Below are 23,945 nucleotides of genomic sequence, written 5' to 3'. Positions count from 1 at the left end.
AAAAAAAAAAAGTTTGAGCAGAAGTTTGGAGTTAAAAGCGAACCTAGGATATTCAGTGAAAAATGAAACCCCTGACCAACTGAGACAGATTGTTAGAATCTCACCAACATATTTAATTTCTTGACATCTTTGCTTTGTTCTTGCTTTCTTCTGAAACCAAAAAAAAGAAAAAATATTTTACTGACATCATTGGTTAATATATACTTATCTTTCAAAGCTCAATTTCTACTATTTCTTTTGTTAGAAACCTACAGATTCAACCATTTGTTAGAAACCTACAGATTTCTAACAGATTTCTAGCAGATTTCTTTTGTTAGAAACCTACAGATACAACCAACATTATCTGTGTTCACAAAGCACTTTATGCATAAATGTTCATAGTATCTACGACATTGCATTTTTGTCAGCTGTTTATCTGTTAGACTTCACCTGCTGCTTTTTTTAGTTTTTAGAATTCAATAATAATGTTTTAGTTCTCTTTGTTCTCCTAACATGTAACATTTACCTGCCATATAGCAGGAGTGAAAGTTGAATGATCGTAAACATAGAATTGCTGTAACGGGGAATTATAGTGTTGTAGACAAAGCAGGGGAGCAAAGTTGTGTCACATTTGGGGAATTTTTGCTTAACGACCCAAGAAGAATGAATAAATGGAAATTTAAGTTGCATACTGGTTTTTTACTTGGAATGTTTCTTTGGACATTTTGTAATAAACTCTAAATCAACAGAGAAAATGGGAAAATTTTGGGTACCTAAAAAATTCTGAGCTTTTTTCCAAAGATTATTATGTTATATTATATTACATTATATTATACATATACACATATATACAGTATATATAAAAAATAGTGTAACCCTATAGCAATGTTATACAAAATTATATTCTTCTTCCTTTAACAGATAACTTTAACATCAAAACACTGAAATGATAATACCTTTTAGTTAACTTTATCATAGTGAAACTGTATTTTATTGACTATTGTTATTTTTTATTGAATATAAAATATTTTTACTAAAACATAAAAAAGGTTTTAATTTGTTCCATATTCCAGAAAATTGTGCTTTGTGAGGTTTATCTAACCCAGATATAATTTTCATGACATTTGCACATTTCTGCATGGCATTTCACTTTTCCTTCAAGACAGGAATTTAATTTCTAAAAGTATTTAATTTTCAGGAAGAATTTACTAAATAGTTGTGCTTATACTTTAATTGTGTTAATATTTTTCATGTTTTACTTTTTGAAATACTGAAACATTTGTTCAATTTAGAAGTTAAGAAAAAAATACACAAAAATAAAGAATAGATATTTCGGTGTCAGAGCAAGGGAATATTGCTGTTCATTATCTTGGAATCAATATACTGAACTCAGTTTTCCAGCAAATAGAGGCAGACATTTGTGATAGCTTAGTTTTCTCATATTTGAATGATAAATAGTGCATGAAATAGCTCCATAATTTAGCGACTGTATTTATAGAGTTATTCCTGGCAGCTAATGGTGCCTTTCATTTGATGAAACCATGTAAAGGAAGATAATACAAAGAAGAATTTTTTTAGCAGTTAACAAATGTCCACTCTTCCAAGTTTATATCATGCATTGATCAGAAGGTCCAAATCTGTCTAATCCCAAGAGCATGATTACTGATATGAAACTGATATGGTTTCCCATATCAGTCCAAAGCTCCCTACAATCATTTCCCTTTCTCTGTATTGCTTGAGTTAGTTTTTCAGAACTGCATTTGATATTTTCCTTCCTCTAATAATCCTTACCCTTTAAGTAACAGGTATGAGCAAAGACATTGACCTTCAATGTCTTTTTCTTTTTCTAAGATTAAGATTAGCTAGGCTCTGTGTTATGTGATCAGTCTTTGCTTCCTTCAGGGCTACTCTTTGTTCCAGCTAATCTAGCCTCCTTTTTTTTTTTCTTTTACCTACTGAGATATTCATTCATTAATTCATTTAATGAAAGTTTTTGCCTATGTTCTGCCTCTATTTTATCTCTTGTCATGATTTTAACTTCACTCATCTAAGAGAGGTAATTAGCGTTAATGAGATCACAAGGATGGAGCCCTAATCCTCTAATTACCTTTTTCACATATGTGATCAGTTTTTGTTTTTCTGGTTCAATTGTAAACTTTATGAAGTAATACATGACATTCCCTTTTTGCTTGCCAATTTTGTATTCTCTATGCTAAACCCAATACTCAATTCATAGGAAAATACAAGAGTAATGAAGGAAGGAATGAATGTTTTGGTGGTCTGCATGCTAAGTTTACTGATTATGAGAGAAGGCTTTCTAATCTAGTCACAGAAATCATGCATCACTCCATATCTCTTTTTCCATCTCCTGTTGAAACTTCTCTAAAGACAGGCTTGTCAGTCTTTGGGTGGAAGAATAGTTGCAACAAATTCCCCTTCCTAATTACGTACTAGGGGAACGATAGCATTATTTAATTGCAATGAATATACTGGATAATCAGTTAGGCACCATCAGGAATATTGTAGATGAATATGGTAATGGAGGTGGAGGTGGAGTCATGGCAGACCAAAAGTTCAAGACCTTAATATACATGTACTTAACTCTGGTCACCTTATCACCACAATGCCCTCAAATTTAAGCTGTAGAATCAGCTCAATGAATGTTTTAGGGCATGTGAATTTTTCCTTCTGTATTATAAGGAAGATTGATAAAGTCTTCCACCCATAGTAAGCAGTCCTTGATGCCCAAAAGAAATAGTCGGCCAGTACTACTAATTTATTCCTTGCCAGTTTGAAGACTAAATTGATTTCCTTTATATTATATATTGTTTGAGATTGTAAGTGTACCAAAAATTTTTTTCACAGAAATGATTAGGGTATATGAAATTTGGTCCTATTATCATTTTTAAAAAAAGAAAATGAGTGAGGCTTTTTAGTTGGTCCTCCAAAATACAAAACTTCAGGATCAAGGTAGAAAGTGCATTTAGTCTTCAATTTTTAAAAGTTCAAAACAACTACATCAGGCACTGTACATATAATGAAAAGAGAAAACAAATATGGATCTTATAATCTAGTGGGAGAGACAAACAATAACCAAAGAATTACACAAATAAAAATAAAATTGTAATTGTGGTCATTTTCTTGAAGGGAAGATGGATAAGAAGCTCTATGAGTTCATAATATTTTTCTGTCCTCCTGTTCTGATCTTCTTCTGGGTTGTGAGAGATAATTGAAATGATGCATGTGAAATAACTTTTTAATTACATCAAACTGTGTAAATATATGACATTCATACTAATAAGTATTTCCCTTTGTCAATCAAACTTTCTTTAATTATGTAACTCCTTCTGGGTTTAATTTTTCATTTAATTCTTATGGCCTTTCGGTCTTTATGCATTTAATTTGTATGTATTATGACTATGACATCAGAATCCTCAAACCAGTGTTCTCAGTTTTGTGGAAAAAGTGAAAATGATGATGGAATCACACACTTTTCTGGCTCTCTGAATTATGAATATATTATCATTTTTCTTAAAATTATAACTGATGTCTTTACAGGGTGTAATGAAGCTATGAGATAATTTAGGAGGACATAACATAAAAACACAGTCCTTACTAGGTCTGTTATAAATTATATTAGTCTGCTGCAGCTGCTGTAACAAAATACTACAGACCGGTTTGGATTAAACAACAGAAATGTATTTTCTCTCAGTTCTAGAAGTTGGAAGTCCCCAAGATTAAGATGCTGGCGGGGTTGGTTTCTGAAACCTCTTTCTGGCTTGTACATACGCAGATATCCAATTTCTGACTGTGTCTTCACGTAGCTTTTCCTCTGGGCAAGAGATCATTGGTATCTCTTTCTTTTTTTAAAGGACACCAGTTCTACTGGATTAAGTTCCCATTCTTATGATCTCATTAACCATAATTATCTCCTTAAAGGCCTTATGTCTGAAAACAGTCACATTGGGAGTTAGGCCATAACAAATAAACTTTGAGGGAATATGATTCAGTTCAAAATATAAATCTTGCATTATTTTAAAAAACTCATTTACACTACTAATAACAACATTCGTGAGATATTTATATTAACCCTATTCCAAATAAATCCTAATTTTAAAATTGTCTATGACTAGGTCTGGGCGCGGTGGCTCACTCCTGTAATCCCAGCACTTTAGGAGGCCGAGGCGGGAGGATCACGAGGTCAGGAGATTGAGACCATCCTGGCTAACATGGTGAAACCCTGTCTCTATTAAAAATACAAAAAATTAGCCGGGCGTAGTGGCGGGCGCCTGTAGTCCCAGCTACTTGGGAGGCTGAGGCAGGAGAATGGCGTGAACCCGGGAGGCGGAGCTTGCAGTGAGCCGAGATCCCGCCACTGCACTCCAGCCTGGGCGACAGAGCGAGACTCCGTCTCAAAAAAAAAAAAAAAAAAAAAAAAAAAATACAAAAAACATTTAGCCAGGCGTGGTGGCGGATGGCTGTAGTCCCAGCTACTCAGAAGGCTGAGGCAGGAGAATGGTGTGAACCCGGGAAGCGGAGCTTGCAGTAAGCCGAGATCACGCCACTGCACTCCAGCCTGGGCAACAGAACGAGACGCCATCTCAAAAAATAAATAAATAAATAAAAAGTCTATGAATAAACTTTAATAAAAGTGTGGAGTTTTTTTCAAAATTAAGTTAGGTAAAATAGAAAAAACAATTCTGTTTTTAATTTTTGTATAAAAACACTTTAAGAGTGCTAGACACTAAGCAAACAATTCTATACAAACCTACACAACTTTAGGTTAAGGCATCCACAACTATGGAAATTATCCAGCTTTAAAAATAATTTTTGAATAATTTGTGTCAAATTCTAGATTTGTTATCTATAGGAAGTAAGAAATTTATGATGGAAAATGCTGAATATTGAGATTATTGTCTAAAATGGTATCACTGAATGGAATTTCTATGAGGACAGGGATGTTGTCATTTTTTTTTTCTGGCCACCGTAAGTGTCTAGAAAAGTGCCTTGTCCAAAATAAGTATTATAAAAATGTTTCTCAGTGAATAAATTTTAATATCATTTACTCAAATTAGCTTCATTTCTTATAGCACTTCACAATTCACCTGAATCTTAACTATATTACCATAATGTAGTTAAAAAGAGATGTGGTTTTAAGAATCTACACAGTTTTTGGTAGAATCTTCTATACTATCATTTTCTTTTGTTCTAAGTCAAGAGTGCTGAGTTCTCTCAATACTTATATCTACAATTTATACGAGTCAGAATGGCTATTACGAAAGTCAAAAAAAAAAGTTGTTGATGAGGATGAGGAGAAAAAAGAATGATTACAGACTGTTAGTGGGAATGTAAATTATTATAACCTCTAGGGAAAAGAGTATGAAGAGTTCTCAAAGAACTAAAAATGGAACTACCATTTGATCCAGCAATCCCACTACTGGGAATCTAACCAGTGTAAAATCAATTATTATATATAAAAAAAATCTTGTGCTTGTATGTTTATTGCAGCACTATTATATGGCATAGAGCTAAGTGTCTATTAACAGATGATAAGAAAAAGGAAATGTGACATACATACACACACACACACACACACACACAATACTCAGCCATAAAAAGGAATGAAATCGTGTCTTTTGCGGCAACATGAATGGAATTGGAGGCCATTACCTTAAGTGTAATAATTCAGAAACAGAAAGTCAAATAGCGCATATTCTCACTTATCAGTGGAAACTAAACAATGTATGGATATGTATGTAGAGTGTGGAATAACAGACATTGGAGACTCAGAAGGGTAGGAGAGTGAGAGGGGAGTGAGGGATGAGAAATTATGTAATGGGTACAGTGTGCATTATTTGGGTGATGTTTACACTAAAAGCCCATGTATTAGTTCTTTCTCACACTGCTATAATGAACTATCTGAGACTGGGTAATTTATGGAGAAACACCTTTTAACTGATTCGTAGAACTGTAGGCTGTACACGAAGCATGGCTGAGAGGCTCAGGAAACTTAACAATCATGGCAGAAGGCAAAGGGAATCCATGCACATCTTACGATGGTGGAGCAGGAGAAAGAGAGCAAAGGGGAAGTGCTACTCACTTTTAAACAATCAGATATCATGAGAACTCACTCACTATCATGAGAACAGCAAGGGAGAAATCTGCCCCCATGATCCAATCACCTCCCACCCGCCCCTCCTCTAACACTGAAGATCACAATTCAACAGGAGATTTGCATGGGAACGCAAAGGCAAACCATCTCAGCCCAGACTTCACTGCTATGCAATATATAACAAACATGGGATTTATATTACTTATGTAATAAAACCACACTTGTACCGCTTAAATTTATACAAATAAAAAAATTTCTAATGTTGACCAAAGATCTAAGATTCATGGCTTTTGAGTTAGAGAATTTAAATTATATAATTAATGCAGCCTAAATTCAACTTCAAAGTTAAGGTTAAAGTCTTAAACAACAAAAATTTAAAAAAATGTGATTATAAACGTTCTTTCAAGTTTTGAGGTTGAATATAAGTCTATAATTAAAAAATAAATGGGGAATTGGCAATTATATTATTTCATTTTATAGGAAAGCTGTATTGCATTAATTTTGGCCAACCTTCAAAAGTAGATATTACTATTTATTACAAGTGTATCTTTTTATTTTTATAATATTATTATTTTTTATTTTTATTTTTGAGACAAAGTCTCACACTGTCACCCAGGCTGGAGTACAGTGGCGCAATCTCTGCTCACAGCAAGCTCCACCTCCTGGGTTCACGCCATTCTCCTGCCTCAGCCTCCTGAGTAGCTGGGACTACAGGCGCCCGCCACCACGCCCGGCTAATTTTTTGTATTTTTAGTAGAGATGAGGTTTCACCGCGTTAGCCAGGATGGTCTCCATCTCCTGACCTCGTGATCCGCCCGCCTTGGCCTCCCAAAGTGATGGGATTACAGGAGTAAGCCACCGCTCCCGGCCTTTTATTATTATTATTATTATTATTATTTTGAGACAAGTTCTTGCTCTGGTGCCCAGGCTGTAGTGCAGTGTCGCCATCATGGCTCACTGCAGCCTCAAACTTCTGGGCTCAGGCAACCCTCTCACCTCCACTTCCCCAGTATCTGGGACTACAGGCGTACACTACCATGCCTGGCTAATTTTTTTTTCAATTATTTTTTGTAGAGATGGGGTCTCGCTATGCTGCTCAGGCTGGTCTCAAACTCCTGGGCTCAAGTGATCCTCCCACGTTGGCCTCCCAAAATGCTTGGTTTACAGATGTAAGCCACTATGCCCTTCCTTGATGATTTCTATTGACAGATAATAAATAGTTTTCACAAAATTCTCGAGAAAAACCTGGGCCATACCTCAATTGTTTATAATTTTTTACTCTGCCTTTTAACAATTTATATTTTGTCTTTTATATGGGGTAATTAGAATGAGAATGATGTAAGGGAAGAGTCCTAAGTTTAGAATTGAACACATCTACATCTACATTGTAATTCCTGACAGCTAAGCTGCTTACCAGCTGTGCGTTTTCTGGCAATTTATATATCCTTTGTTTTCCCTTCAAGAAAAATAACAGTTGTTTTTTTTTTTTTAGTGAAATTGTATGTATAATATGTATATATTTATATTATATAATTTAAAATACCAGGCACAATAAAATGGCTCTCATTATATTCTTTTAGTAGAGGTTTTGTTTGTTTTGTTTTGTTTTGCAGTAGTTTTGTTTTGTTTTATATGGAACCGGTTATTTAAACATTTAAGTATTTGTCTTTGTATTATATTAAAAGTGATTTAGAATTTCTTGACAGGAAAACTAGAGTAACTAATGTAAGTCTCTGTAAGTAATAGAATTCACTGCATTCTATGCAGGGGAATTTGAAAAGTTTTGAAAACATAAAAATCAATGTTACATGTTGGTAGAAAAGCTACGTCCTAGAGATACTGTTCTTAATATTGGTATATGTGCAATTTCAAAACAGGGATGAGTCAAATCACATAAGGCTATGACTTTTTCCTTATGTGTCATTTGCAAGCTTAGCAGTGGTGAGGATGTTGGAGATAAATGTAAGAAACTAGGCCATCTTTGCTCATTTTGAATATAGTGGATGCCTCTTTCCTTATACGATTGTTAAATTAACCCTTTTCAGGTTGCCAGGTCTACTGTTTTAAATTATGTACAGATAGATTTTTGTAAGAAAGGAAAAAAATTCTCAAAGAAGTGTGTACTTGTGTGTCTTTTGTAGAATGCATCTAAACAAGTTGTCTAAAATTATACATCTTCTCTTTATTTACGCAGCTTATTCTCCCTTTTTTGTTATCTCAGTTTTCTTTCTCTCTCCCTGCTCCACACACTTGAATGAAGATTGAAAACTACAAATTCTTTTCAGTATTAGGACCTCTGAAGTTGATCCTGATGTTCTAAATACATTATCCTTATCTTTCGTCTTGCTTACGAGAGTATTATCCTCATTTTTATATGATAGAAAGCTGCTTTGAAAGGAAAAGGCCTTGATGCAGGCCAAGCAATTTGTAAGCTATGGAGGTGAGATATGAATCATAGTTCATCTATATCTCTAGGCTGTATTTATCTCCTTACTTCTAGAGAAAAAGGAATAAGGAAATAAATGTTAATTCAATGATTTTAAAATATATTTATTATCATTATAAAGACTGAGCAGTATTATTCAAAATTCAAAGTTTTGAGTTCTGTATAGGTAGTTTGCGTATATATAGGAGATGGACATCCCTGCACAGCTACTTTTTCCTAAGTTTATCAATGTTTCTTTTAAGATTTAAGGTAATCCTTCTATTCCAAATATGCAGAAAGCATTTGAACACATACTTCAAAGAATTTCTGGAGACAGCCAGGAGTAGCCAATCAACTTAAATCCTTGTATGTCCTCCTGGGCTGAAATGCATGTTTCCTTCACTATATATTTCAGTTCTCCTGTTCCTCTATCTCAGCTCTCTAGTTTTCCAAAACTAACACCCTTGAATAAGAGAAACTCTGTGCCAAAGACTACTTGGTACATTTCCAACCACAAGATTCAGAGGGTCTGGCTGCCTCTAATTTAGTATTGCCAACATACCCATCGGTGACTCAAGCCAAACAGAGACCACGCCAGGACACTTTTTAATTTGCCAAAGCAACTTGTGAAAGAGGTAAACCAGTCCAATTCTGATAAATTATCTGCAAACAAATTAGATATTCTTACAGCAAGGAAGTGTCAATACTGTAACCAAGCAGAGGTGACAGAATTCATAACATGTTTCAACAGAATATATCAGAAAAATTATTTTGTAACCATGGTAAATATATTAAATCATTCTTCCAGCATTTTGTTAAGCTTGTATTTGGATTTAATAGCCATTCCACAATGAATATATACTTCAAAACATCATGTTGTGAAATATAAATACCTAAAATTTTATCTGTTGATTTAAAAAATACATTAAAAAAATTTAAAAGAATGGGCTATATCACTAAATATAACACACTGTTGTGATTTGGCAATTTGCCATTGAATTTTTTATATTAGTCTTGCCAAATTAGATAAGTTAAGCCTCTAAATTTATTTCACGAAGAAGTGGGTAAGTCCTAGATAGCTACTAGGTACAATTTTATTTGGCTATATTTTTAAATTAGTCAAATAGATGATTTTTAAATATACTTTTATGTTGCATTGATAATAGCCAGTCAAAAAAATTGAATCATTTAATAATTTATGTTTGTAGGTGCATTTTAGCAATCATCCTTTAAAAATTCTGATATTTATATGTCTCATTTGATTTGAATGTATTCAAAGTGTGAGAAGGAAGTAATCTAACGTGTACAAAACACTATACTAGATCGTTTCATACATTTTAGCCAATTATTACTCACAATAATTTTGCAAAACATTATGCATATTTTATAGATAGTAAAACTGAGGATTTTTAACATACAAGGTCATAAATCAGAAGGTAAGTATAATTCTATTTAGTACAGTAATTTGAATTCTCCACCAGCCCATACAAGACTTTGAGAAAGACATTGCTCTAAATGATCACTTAGAAAGTAGGGTATTCATCCTCTCAAAAGGCTGTTTAGTTATATTTGAGTAAGTTTTATTTCCCCTGTTAAGTTATAAAAAAGTTGAAGGGTAACATGATATCTTAAATTTATTCTTCATATCAACTTACAATTAACCTCATACATGGAAACATTTATACAAATTTAAGCCAAAAAGAAAAAAAAAACTGTTATAAGTGTTCTAATTCATCTTTAAGTTTTAGTAACATTAAATTAATATAATGTTTTATAAATACTCAAATGCAATATATTCAAAACTATTTTTTATCATTCCCATTTCTGCTCTCTGAAACAGACTCTTTTTCAAAGTGTCCTACCATGGCAAGTATTTCCATTATCAATGGTCCCTGAGCTAAAACACATTTAATCTTATATTGGCTTGTTTTAGCCAATTCCCACATCTACTCAATCATCAGGCTCTATAGATTTTATTCTATTATTAGTCCCAAATTCTCACTCTCACCACTTTAGTTCAGGTATTTATAAAATAAACAGAAACGTCATTGATTTTATATGCAAATTTCTGAAATTTTAAAAGTCATAAGTTATTCGTTCAGTCAAATTTTTATGTATTATTCTCGAATTGTTTTGCAAACAAATCTATTGTGCAATATAAAGGAAAAAAATAAAATCCTATGATTGATAATGACTCAAGTAATTACAAATATATTATATATATATATTTCAGGGTAAAAAAGAAGAAAATCAAAACTTTAAAAGTTTAGAAAAATAGAAATAAGTGAAGATTCAGAAATAGTAAATTATTTGGTCTAGCAAATGATAAGTTTGTGCATTTGAGCACCATTATCCTTTTTCTTTCAAAGGTTACTATCCATGTGGTAAATAAATAGCAGTGCTTCTGTGAGACCTTTTTTTTAACCCCCTTCAAAAATGTTAAGTTCCCCTTCCTCCTACCTGTAGCACTTTCACATACCATTTTGATAGCATTTATAAAAACTTTAGTTTATTTATTTGCTCATATGTCTGACATCTGCATGAGACCTTCACCTCCTGGCAAGCCAGGACAATGCCTTTGTGCATCTGTGTTTGTACTGGATACTCAGCAAGCATAATTTTTAAATAATTAAATAAGTATATATGTATTTATTTATAAATATTTTAATTATATATTAGATCATACATCATATATGCATTGCTTGTATAATACATAGCATTGTTATCTATGTTAAATATATATATATGAATTTAAAAATGGATGGATGTGCTTATGTTCATCCACATGGCTTTATCTTAAGTTTTAGAGTTTTATACTATGTTCAGTAGGATGGTAAATACTTTGTAAACATGTCCAAGTTAAAGACACAGAGAAGTGACTCACCAGTTTGCTAATTCACAGGAGACTGAGAGATTGTGTCTGTGCCTGTGTGCAAAGCATTTTAAACAATCAGTTGCAATGTCTATTTCATGGCTCTTTTTACTAAATAGAAAAATCCATTTACTAAAGGCCTGTTGCTTTTTATTATGCAATGTATATGTTTTTAAAAGACAAAGCTTTGGTATGTTTACAAAAGTTAGCCACTAAACAATTATTTCTGCTTAATAATACTTGACCTACGGATAATCTATTACATTGATTCTTTTCTCTCAGATAGTTCTCTTTTAAATTTGCAAGAATTGGTTGCCTTTGTGTGTTACTTTATCATGTAATGAAGTACTCATGAGACCTCATTATAGAACCAACTCTATTTTCAATCATTAAATTAGTGCTCTTATTAAGATGAAGTATGAAACTGCTTGAATTGCTGCTTTCTTCAAAATGCTTTTTAAAATATTTAAAATCCTTTTGAATGGTAAATTAAAATCTTTTATAGTAATAAAGAATCATATTAACAGGTTAAGGAAAGCTAATTGGAATTAAATTGATAAATGTGGTGAATTATTTTATATACAAACTGCACTGATGCAAACATGATTTCTTTTCTACAGGAGAAAAATATGAGAATAGAATAATTATAGTCATTTGAGAATGCAGTCAAGCCCAACAGTGAGACAGATAACTTTTCAAAGAAATATATCGAATATACCCGTATGAACTGATTTCCTTTCATCTATGTTTAGGTGCATGGCTAACAGAAAAGAAAGAAAGAAAGAGAGAGAGAGAGAGAGAGAGAGAGGAGAGAGAGAGAGAGACAGACAGAAAGAGAGAGAGAGAGAGGGGAGAGAGAGAGACAGAAAGAAAGAAAGAAAGAAAGAAAGAAAGAAAGAAAGAAAGAAAGAAAGAAAGAAAGAGCAAGCCTTAGAAGTTACTTTTTAAGGCTAGCTGGGTGTGGTGGCTCACACCTGTAATCCCAGCACTTTAGGAGGCCAGGTGGACAGATCACTCGAGGTCAGAAGTTCAAGACCAGCCTGGCCAACATAGTGAAATCCGATGTTTACTAAAAATACAAAAATTAGCAGAGCAGGATGGTGCACAGCTGTAGTCCCAGCTGCTTAGGAGGCTGAGATGAGAGGATTGCTTGAACCCAAAAGACAGAGGTCGCAGTAAGCCCAGGTCATGCCAGTGTATTCCAGCCTGGGTGACAAAGTGAGACTCCCACTCAAAAAAAAAAAAAAAAAAAAAAAAAAGAAGTTACTTTAAAAAAATGTGAACCTGTTAAACTGACATGTTTTAGTTAAATAAAATTAATGTAAAATAATCTATACTTAAGTATTTTACATAAACTTATACAATGTGGAAGCTTTACATAATATACATTATATGTAATTACAAAGAAGAGTTTAAAAAATCCTTTCCATGAAAGAGCTCAAAATTAAAAGTGTACAAATATATACACACACATGCACACACACATACATATATCACTTGTCTTATAAATAGTTAAGAGATATGAATATAAATTATTAGATTTATTATACAGTAGAATTATATGCCTTGTGGTAGCTATAAATATCAAATTTTCTATTTCCTTCCTACTCAGCAGTAGGAAAATAGTAAGATAGGAAAATATTAATTCCTCAGTAGGAAAATATTAAGAAGTTTTTGGTTTGTTTGTTTGTGTTGGTTGCCTTCTATATTAGTTTGCTAGGGTTGCCATAACAAAGTATCCCAGACCAGTGGCTTTAAAAGTATAAATTTATTTTCTCACATTTTTGAGGGTTGTAAGTTCAAGATCAAGGTGTCAACAGGGTAGGTTCTTTCTGAGGGCCAAAAGGGGAGGCTTTTTCCCTGGCTTACAGGTGGCTATCTTCTCCCTGTGTTTTCATATCCTCTTCCCTCTGTAGATGTTGGTATGTCTACATTTACTCTTCTAATAAGGACACCAGTCATAGTGGACTAGGTCCTACTTTAATGAGCTCATTTTAAGACATCAGTCATGTTGGATTAAGACCTACCCCAAGTAACTCATTTTAACTTAATTATATCTGTAAAGTGACCATCAAATATAGTCACATTCTGTGGTACTAGGGATTAAGCCTGCAATATATGAATTGGAAGGGGGAAATAATTCAGCCCAGCCCACAGCATGTCATGCTCTGCCCCCCACAAATGTATGCCTTTCTCACATGCAAAATACATTCACCCCATCCCAGCAGCCCCTAGTCTTAACTCATTCCAGAATCAACTCTAAGTCACAAATCTCATTTAAATGCCATTTGATCCACGTGTGGGTGAGACTCCAGGTATGATTCATCCTGAGGCAAAATTACTCTCCAGCTGTGAACTTGTGAAACCAGACAAGTTGTCTTCTTTGAAAATACAATGGTGGGATAGGAATTGGATATACGTTTCAATTTCAAAAGGAAGAAAACAGAAATAAAGAGGTTATGCATTCCAAGCAAGTCCAAAAGCTAGTAGGGAAAATTCTATCAGATTTTAAATCTTAAAAATTATCCTCTTTGACTGCTCTGGAGCCAAATCTTAAGTCCTCTGGACCATCATGGTAGCAGTCCTATTCTTTGGGCCCCCTCAGGGTGGCAGCCTCATCTCCTCAGCCTTAGGTGGCAATGGCCTGTTCCTTTGAAACTTTAGAGGAGGCCTTGCCATTTAGAACCAAGGAGGAGACAAACCTACTCGCGGGCCTGTTGTAGTGGCAGAAATGCCAACTTCTGCACTGCCTGCAAGGTCATTCAATCTTTTTATTAAGGGATAATGCACATTCACAGCCAATTAATCTGCTTTTCCCTCCTGTAGAATTTTGTTCCATCCGTTTATTTTGTTTCATCTTTATTTTCTTCAGTACAAGCTGGGTGTGTTTCAGCATGTATCGAATTCTCAAAAAACTTTTCTGGCCTACCATGCAATTCACAGACGTCCAAGCCATCAAACATGAGGACAGTCCAGGAGGATCCTTCACAGATCTTTCCTGGATAACCACATCTTCAATCCCAGCTTCTGGTGAGATGGTTGAATAGACCCATGAGCCATACATACAATCTCTTTAGCAAATGGTCATTCAGCCACAACCTTGATGTTTCCTCCAGAACAGGTTTTCTGATTTTTTGCAGTATGGATATGCTGAGGATTTTCCATATCTTCAGATACTGCTTCCTTTTTGTTTAGCAATTCTTTCTTCCACTTATCTCTCTCCTTTAGTATTTTGCCATAAGCAACAAGGAGAAGGAATACTATCAATACTTTTTATAAAAAATACAAATCTTATCAGCTAAATATCCAAATTTATAAAAGTTCTATTTTCCACAAAACACTAGAACACAATTTGGCTAAACTTTGCATTACTGTATAACAAAGGTCGTTTTTCCTCCAGTTTCAGTAATGTTTCTCTTTTCCCTCTAATACCTTACCAAAGCATCTTTAACATTCTACCAATATTCATACACACACACATACACACACACACACACACACACACACACACACACACATATATATTTATGTACTTTTTTTTACATAAACAAGTTGGTCTCAAACTCCTGGCTTCAAGTAATCCTCCCACCTTGGCCTCCCAAAGTCTGGGATTACAGGCATCAACCACCATGCCCATCCTTACTTACATTCTGTACACAATGACATATATATTTTTTAAGAGGATAGAGACTTTTTCTACAGCTATCTTTTTTTTTCTGAGTCCTTACCAGAGATTCCTTCAATGACCATATTTCTACCATCAATCTTTCCAAGGAAATCTAGACTCTTTGTAACATACATTTTACAACTCTTCCAGCCTCTACATAAAACCCAATTCCAAAGCCACTTTCATATTTTTCAATGTGTGTTATAGTAGCACCCCACTTCTCAGTACCAAAATCTGTATTAGTTTGGCTAGGGTTGCTTTGACAAAGTGCCTCAGAATGAGTGGCTTAAACATCAGAAATTTGTGTACAATTCTGTAGGCTAGGAGTCTGAGATCATGGTGGTGACAGGGATGGTTTATTCAGAGGCCCATGAGGAAAGGATATGTTCCAGGCCTCTTTCCTTAGCTTGAATATGGCTGTCTTATCTCCATGTCTTCATATCATCTCTCTATAGATCTGTACCTGAATTACCTCTTCTTATAAGGACACCAGTCATATTGAATTAGGACTCACCCTAATGACCTCATTTTAACTTAATGATCTCTGTAAAGACCCTATCTCCAAATACAATTACATTCTGAGGTATTGACAGTTATGAACTCAACATATGAGTTTGGGGAAGGAGACACAATTCAACCCACACCACCTTCCTTCAAGCTCATGTCATATTTATAATAATATATCTTATAACTAAAGATTTCTAGAAAAACAACTTAAAATTTATACACTTAATTCCAAAATTATTATTTTTTCCCTTTTTCTAATTTGACACCTAAATTTCAAATAGGGAAGATTAAGATTATTAACTATATTCAAGAATAAAACTTTGGTCCTCATATTGAAAGAATTCATACATAAGTTGATGCTTATGGTGTTTAACATATATTCCTGAATCATCTGAAATTCATTACCATTTTCTATGATTACTACATTATCTATGCAAAAACACAGCCAACAATTATTTTTAAATTGTCTTTTAACTTCCTTCTGCAATTCTACTTCTATGGATCATGTATAATATTTAATATGTTTTGAGAGGCCTAAAATATATATAAAGCAGAAATCATGGGAAACCATTATATAATGTTTCTTGAAACATTTGATTATTTAACAAAATGCAAACAACAGAATGGTATTGATTAGATAATATTTAGTAGTCACTACTCTCTAGTATTGTACTAACACTGGGAAATAAAAAGATTAATATAAATAATACATATATTTTCAAACAGTTTAAAGTCTGCATTCATATAAATTTGGTAGACCAGGTATATAAATACAGTCACTGCTCCATATCTACACTATTGTTGCCACCATAAATGGATATTTATATTAAAACTGCTTTTTCCACCTAATTGTTCATAGAATACTAACGTTCTATGAAAAAAAATAGTCTCTGTTTCTGAATATAGGCTAAATCATCCTCATCAGATCATAAGAATTAACATCATATACTAATCTATTGATTATAAAATTTTTAATGGAATAAAGCTAATAATGTCATTCTTTTTTTATTTTATTATTATTATACTTTCAGTTTTAGGGTACATGTGCACAATATGCAGGTTAGTTACATATGTATACGTGTGCCATGCTGGTGTGCTGCACCCATTAACTTGTCATTTAGCATTAGGTATATCTCCTAATGCTATCCCTCCCCCACTCCACACCACAACAGTCCCCAGAGTGTGATGTTCCCCTTCCTGTGTCCATGTGTTCTCACTGTTCAGTTCTCACCTATGAGTGAGAACATGCGGTGTTTGGTTTTTTGTCCTTGCGATAGTTTACTGAGAATGATGATTTCCAATTTCATCCATGTCCCTACAAAGGACATGAACTCATCATTTTTTATGGCTGCATAGTATTCCATGGTGTATATGTGCCACATTTTCTTAATCCAGTCTATCATTGTTGGATATTTGGGTTGGTTCCAAGTCTTTGCTATTGTGAATAGTGCTGCAATAAACATACGTGTGCATATGTCTTTATAGCAGCATGATTTATAATCCTTTGGGTATATACCCAATAACGGGATGGCTGGGTCAAATGGTATTTCTAGTTCTAGATCCCTGAGGAATCGCCACACTGACTTCCACAATGGTTGAACTAGTTTACAATCCCACCAACAGTGTAAAAGTGTTCCTATGTCTCCACATCCTCTCCAGCACCTGTTTCCAGACTTTTTAATGATTGCCATTCTAACTGGTGTGAGATGGTATCTCATTGTGGTTTTGATTTGCATTTCTCTGATGGCCAGTGATGGTGAGCATTTTTTCATGTGTCTTTTGGCTGCATAAATGTCTTCTTTTGAGAAGTGTCTGTTCATGTCCTTGGCCAATTTTTTATGGGGTTTTTTGTTTTTCTCTTGTAAATTTGTTTGAGTTCTTTGTAGATTCTGGATATTAGCCCTTTGTCAGATAGGTAGGTTGCAGAAATGTTCTCCCATTTTGTAGGTTGCCTGTTCACTCTGATGGTAGTTTCTTTTGCTGTGCAGAAGCTCTTTCGTTTAATTAGATCCCATTTGTCAATTTTGTCTTTTGTTGCCATTGCTTTTGGTGTTTTAGACATGAAGTCCTTGCCCATGCCTATGTCCTGCATGGTAATGCCTAGGTTTTCTTCTAGGGTTTTTATGGTTTTAGGTCTAATGTTTAAGTCTTTAATCCATCTTGAATTAATTTTTGTATAAGGTGTAAGGAAGGGATCCAGTTTCAGCTTTCTACATATGGCTAGCCAGTTTTCCCAGCACCATTGATTAAATAGGGAATCCTTTCCCCATTGCTCGTTTTTCTCAGGTTTGTCAAAGATCAGATAGTTGTAGATATGCGGCGTTATTTCTGAGGGCTCTATTCTGTTCCATTGATCTATATCTCTGTTTTGGTACCAGTACCATGCTGTTTTGGTTACTGTAGCCTTGTAGTATAGTTTGAAGTCAGGTAGCGTGATGCCTCCAGCTTTGTTCTTTTGGCTTAGGATTGACTTGGCGATGCAGGCTCTTTTTTGGTTCCATATGAACTTTAAAGTAGTTTTTTCCAATTCTGTGAAGAAAGTCATTGGTAGCTTGATGGGGATGGCATTGAATCTGTAAATTACCTTGGGTAGTATGGCCATTTTCACGATATTGATTCTTCCTACCCATGAGCATGGAATGTTCTTCCATTTGTTTGTATCCTCTTTTATTTCATTGAGCAGTGGTTTGTTGTTCTCCTTGAAGAGGTCCTTCACATCCCTCGTAAGTTGGATTCCTAAGTATTTTATTCTCTGTGAAGCAATTGTGAATGGGAATTCACTCATGATTTAGCTCTCTGTTTGTCTGCTATTGGTGTATAAGAATTCTTGTGATTTTTGTACATTGATTTTGTATCCTGAGACTTTGCTGAAGTTGCTTATCAGCTTAAGGAGATTTTGGGCTGAGACAATGGGGTTTTCTAGATATACAATCATGTCATCTGCAAACAGGGATAATTTGACTTCCTCTTTTCCTAATTGAATACTCTTTATTTCCTTCTCCTGCCTAATTGCCCTAGCCAGAACTTCCAACACTATGTTGAATAGGAGTGGTGAGAGAGGGCATCCCTGTCTTGTGCCAGTTTTCAAAGGGAATGCTTCCAGTTTTTGCCCATTCAATATGATATTGGCTGTGGGTTTGTCATAGATAGCTCTTATTATTTTGAGATACGTCCCATCAATACTTAATTTACTGAGAGTTTTTAGCATGAAGGGTTGTTGAATTTTGTCAAAGGCCTTTTCTGCATCTATTGAGATAATCATGTGGTTTTTGTCTTTGGTTCTGTTTATATGCTGGATTACATTTATTGATTTTCATATATTGAACCAGCCTTGCATCCCAGGGATGAAGCCCACTTGATCATGGTAGATAAGCTTTTTGATGTGCTGCTGGATTCGGTTTGCCAGTATTTTATAGAGGATTTTTGCATCAGTGTTCATCAAGGATATTGGTCTCAAATTCTCTTTTTTGGTTGTGTCTCTGCCCAGCTTTGGTATCAGGATGATGCTGGCCTCATAAAATGAGTTAGGGAGGATTCCCTCTTTTTCTATTGATTGGAATAGTTTCAGAAGGAATGGTGCCAGTTCCTCCTTGTACCTCTCTGGTAGAATTCAGCTGTGAATCCATCTGGTCCTGGACTCTTTTTGGTTGGTAAGCTATTGATTATTGCCACAATTTCAGAGCCTGTTTTGGTCTATTCAGAGATTCAACTTCTTCCTGGTTTAGTCTTGGGAGGGTTTATGTGTCGAGGAATTTATCCATTTCTTCTAGATTTTCTAGTTTATTTGTGTAGAGGTGTTTGTAGTATTCTCTGATGGTAGTTTGTATTTCTGTGGGATCAGTGGTGATAACCCCTTTATCATTTTTTATTGTGTCTATTTGATTCTTCTTTTTTTCTTTATTAATCTTGCTAGCAGTCCATCAATTTTGTTGATCTTTTCAAAAAACCAGCTTCTGGATTCATTAATTTTTTGAAGGGTTTTTTGTGTCTTTATTTCCTTCACTTCTGCTCTGATTTTAGTTATTTCTTGCCTTCTGCTACCTTTTGAATGTGTTTGCTCTTGCTTTTCTAGTTCTTTTAATTGTGATGTTAGGGTGTCAATTTTCTATCTTTCCTGCTTTCTCTTGTGGGCATTTAGTGCTATAAATTTCCCTCTACACACTGCTTTGAATGTGTCCCAGGGATTCTGGTATGTTGTGTCTTTGTTCTCGTTGGTTTCAAAGAACATCTTTATTTCTGCCTTCATTTTGTTATGTACCCAGTAGTCATTCAGGAGCAGGTTGTTCAGTTTCCATGTAGTTGAGCGGTTTTGAGTGAGTTTCTTAATCTTGAGTTCTAGTTTGATTGCACTGTGGTCTGAGAGATAGTTTGTTATAATTTCTGTTCTTTTACATTTGCTGAGGAGAGCTTTACTTCCAACTATGTGGTCAATTGTGGAATAGGTGTGGTGTGGTGCTGAAAAAAATGTATATTCTGTTTATTTGGGGTGGAGAGTTCTGTAGATGTCTATTAGGTCTGCTTGGTGCAGAGCTGAGTTCAATTCCCGGGTATCCTTGTTAACTTTCTGTCTCGTTGATCTTTCTAATGTTGACAGTGGGGTGTTAAAGTCTCCCATTATTAATGTATGGGAGTCTAAGTCTCTTTGTAAGTCACTCAGGACTTGCTTTATGAATCTGGGTGCTCCTGTATTGGGTGCATATATATTTAGGATAGTTAGCTCTTCTTATTGAATTGATCCCTTTACCATTATGTAATGGCCTTCTTTGTCTCTTTTGATCTTTGTTGGTTTAAAGTCTGTTTTATCAGAGACTAGGATTGCAACCCCTGCCTTTTTTTGTTTTCCATTTGCTTGGTTGATCTTCCTCCATCCTTTTATTTTGAGCCTATGTGTGTCTCTGCACGTGAGATGGGTTTCCTGAATACAGCACACTGATGGGTTTTGACTCTTTATCCAATTTGCCAGTCTGTGTCTTTTAATTGGAGCATTTAGTCCATTTACATTTAAGGTTAATATTGTTATGTGTGAATTTGATCCTGTCATTATGATGTTAGCTGGTTATTTTACTCATTAGTTGATGCAGTTTCTTCCTAGTCTTGATGGTCTTTACATTTTGGCATGATTTTGCAGCAGCTGGTACCAGTTGTTCCTTTCCATGTTTATTGCTTCCTTCAGGAGCTCTTTTAGGGCAGGCCTGGTGGTGACAAAAATCTCTCAGCATTTGCTTGTCTGTAAAGTATTTTATTTCTCCTTCACTTATGAAGCTTAGTTTGGCTGGATATGAAATTCTGGGTTGAATATTCTTTTCTTTAAGAATGTTGAATATTGGCCCCCACTCTCTTCTGGCTTGTAGAGTTTCTGCCGAGAGATCCGCTGTTAGTCTGATGGGCTTCTCTTTGTGGGTAACCCGACCTTTCTCTCTGGCTGCCCTTTACATTTTTTCCTTCATTTCAACTTTGGTGAATCTGACAATTATGTGTCTTGGAGTTGCTCTTCTCAAGGGGTATCTTTGTGGCGTTCTCTATATTTCCTGATTCTGAATGTTGGCCTGCCTTGCTGGATTGGGGAATTTCTCCTGGATAATATCCTGCAGAGTGTTTTCCAACTTGGTTCCATTCTACCCGTCACTTTCAGGTACACAAATCAGACGTAGATTTGGTCTTTTCACATAGTCCCATATTTCTTGGAGGCTTTGTTCATTTCTTTTTATTCTTTTTTCTCTACACTTCCCTTCTTGCTTCATTTCATTCATTTGATCTTACATCACTGGTACCCTTTCTTCCAGTTGATTGCATTAGCTCCTGAGGCTTCTGCATTCTTCACGTAGTTCTCGAGCCTTGGCTTTCAGCTCCATCAGCTCCTTTAAGCACTTCTCTGTATTGGTTATTCTAGTTATACATTCGTCTAATTTTTTTTTAAAGTTTTTAACTTCTTTGCCTTTGGTTTGAATTTCTTCCTGTAGCTCAGAGTAGTTTGATCATCTGAAGCCTTCTTCTCTCAACTTGTCAAAGTCATTCTCCGTCCAGCTTTGTTCCATTGCTGGTGAGGAACTGCGTTCCTTTGGAGTAGGAGAGGCGCTCTGCTTTTTAGAGTTTCCAGTTTTTCTGCTCTGTTTTTTCCCCATCTTTGTGGTTTTATCTACTTTTGGTCTTTGATGATGGTGATGTACAGATGGGTTTTTGGTGTGGATGTCCTTTCTGTTTGTTAGTTTTCCTTCTAACAGACAGGACCGTCAGCTGCATGTCTGTTGGAGTTTGCTAGAGGTCCACTCCAGACCCTGTTTGCCTGGGTATCAGCAGTGGTGGCTGCAGAACAGCGGATTTTCCTGAACTGCGAATGCTGCTGTCTGATTGTTCCTCTGGAAGTTTTGTCTCAGAGGAGTACCCGGCCGTGTGAGGTGTCAGTCTGCCCCTACTGGGGGGTGCCTCCCAGTTAGGCTGCTCAGGGGTCAGGGGTCAGGGACCCACTTGAGGAGGCAGTCTGCCCGTTCTCAGATCTCCAGCTGCGTGCTGGGAGAACCACTGCTCTCTTCAAAGCTGTCAGACAGGGACATTTAAGTCTGCAGAGGTTACTGCTGTCTTTTTGTTTGTCTGTGCCCTGCCCCCAGAGGTGGAGCCTACAGAGGCCGGCAGGCCTCCTTGAGCTGTGGTGGGCTCCACCCAGTTCGAGCTTCCCAGCTGCTTTGTTTACCTAATCAAGCCTGGGCAATGGCGGGCACCCCTCCCCCAGCCTCGCTGCCGCCTTGCAGTTTGATCTCAGACTGCTGTGCTAGCAATCAGCGAGACTCCGTGGGCATAGGACCCTCCAAGCCAGGTGCGGGATATAATCTCCTGGTGCACCGTTTTTTAAGCCTCTCAGAAAAGCACAGTATTCGGGTGGGAATGACCTGATTTTCCAGGTGCCATCTGTCACCCCTTTCTTTGACTAGGAAAGGGAACTCCCTGACCCCTTGCGCTTCTGGAGTGAGGCAATGCCTCACCCTGCTTCGGCTCATGCACGGTGCACCCACCCACTGCCCCGCACCAACTGTCTGGCACTCCCTAGTGATATGAACCCGGTACCTCAGATGGAAATGCAGAAATCACCCGTCTTCTGCGTTGCTCATGCTGGGAGCTGTAGACAGGAGCTGTTCCTATTCGGCCGTCTTGGCTGCCCTCTAATAATGTCATTCTTAACTGTATTCTAGGTATAGAGAGCTTAGCTAAATCCTAGGTGAAATGATCTATAAGTGTAATTTTAACTACCAATTATAGAACAACTATTATGTGTCAGGAATTCTGCAGTTATACCATATACAACACACACACATTTGTGTGTGTGTTATTGAGTTCAGTTGTGTATGTTTGTCCCTATACCAATAAAAAATTAATCCAAAGATTACAAAATGCTCAAAATAATGTGCAATATTGTAATTGGTTTTATTGAAATTGTCTACAGAATCATTATGAATTATTTTTGTATAGTATTCAAAGCATAGATATGGACATTGGTGATACAAAGATGTATAAAATGATTTCTGCTTTCTAGTTGTTTATAAATTGAGTACATAATATAAATGAAGAAAACTAATTAAAATCCAGTGAAACACATTAATATGATATCAAATGAGCACTGTATTCCACAGTATACATAGGTTTAGGTACGGTTGCAGTAACATGAAAAAAAATACTGCATATGAATGCAGACCTGAAAGGAGTAAAGTGGGGGAAGTTTTACCCTACCTAGTTTTCAATATACCCTTGTAAAGGCAAAATGAATTAGGAATAGCAGAATAGATTCATAATTTTGTTTATAAGCCAGAGAGATAATTCACACTTTTGCCATTCCGCTTGTCACTTACATACAATTTGTTTTGAGTCACACTTAACATTTTTCTCTTGATAATTTCTCTTTATGATTTCAAGTAAAATAAAACAGGAACATGAACTTGTACTTCATTATGTTCTTTCTACACCAGTGACAAAGCCCTAAGATATGCTTATTGTGTTAGATTTTGTTCCTTCTCAAAATATCAGAAAATGCAATAAGGTACATTTTGTAACAAAATGTCTTGAAGAAGCATAAATCCCATGGAGAACAGAAACATGTGTCATAACGTGATATCTGATTTATATTGAACACCTGTAGACTAGAGTTTCTTGTATTTGCTTTTCATTTGAAAATGGCAGAATGGAGCATTGAGCATCATCAATATGGCTCTTTTATTTGTCTGTTTTGAACCTGCTACTGCTTTATGATGACATGTTTCTCTACTTTCAAAATGTGTTTATTATTTGTTAACAAGTGATAAGTAGAGCCTTTAAAATAGGACAAAATGTTTTGAAATGTCAAAAATATATTCAAAGGGCTTCTGCTTTTTCTTAAAACATGTAATGAAAATATTCA

The 23,945-nt window shown here is 35.4% G+C and overlaps 1 protein-coding gene across 3 annotated transcripts in view, besides 2 other annotated features; it reads left to right on the top strand.

Moving 5' to 3' along the window:
• MGAT4C (MGAT4 family member C) overlaps positions 1-23,945 on the top strand; it is an 883,334-nt gene that overhangs the window by 52,408 nt on the left and 806,981 nt on the right. The window lies entirely within an intron of this gene.
• Positions 21,734-22,233: an enhancer, noted in NCBI's record as "NANOG-H3K4me1 hESC enhancer chr12:87158137-87158636 (GRCh37/hg19 assembly coordinates)". NCBI's record gives its function as "activates a minimal SCP1, AML or CMV promoter by ChIP-STARR-seq in naive and primed H9 embryonic stem cells {active_cell/tissue: H9 hESC(naive and primed)}" and the evidence as "EXISTENCE:reporter gene assay evidence [ECO:0000049][PMID:30033119]".
• Positions 22,234-22,735: an enhancer, noted in NCBI's record as "NANOG-H3K4me1 hESC enhancer chr12:87157635-87158136 (GRCh37/hg19 assembly coordinates)". NCBI's record gives its function as "activates a minimal SCP1, AML or CMV promoter by ChIP-STARR-seq in naive and primed H9 embryonic stem cells {active_cell/tissue: H9 hESC(naive and primed)}" and the evidence as "EXISTENCE:reporter gene assay evidence [ECO:0000049][PMID:30033119]".

This window comes from Homo sapiens, chromosome 12, assembly GCF_000001405.40.
Source record: "Homo sapiens chromosome 12, GRCh38.p14 Primary Assembly".
Lineage (NCBI taxonomy): Eukaryota > Metazoa > Chordata > Mammalia > Primates > Hominidae > Homo > Homo sapiens.
Note: the sequence above shows the minus strand (reverse complement) of the source record. Positions and strands in the feature narration are given on the sequence as shown.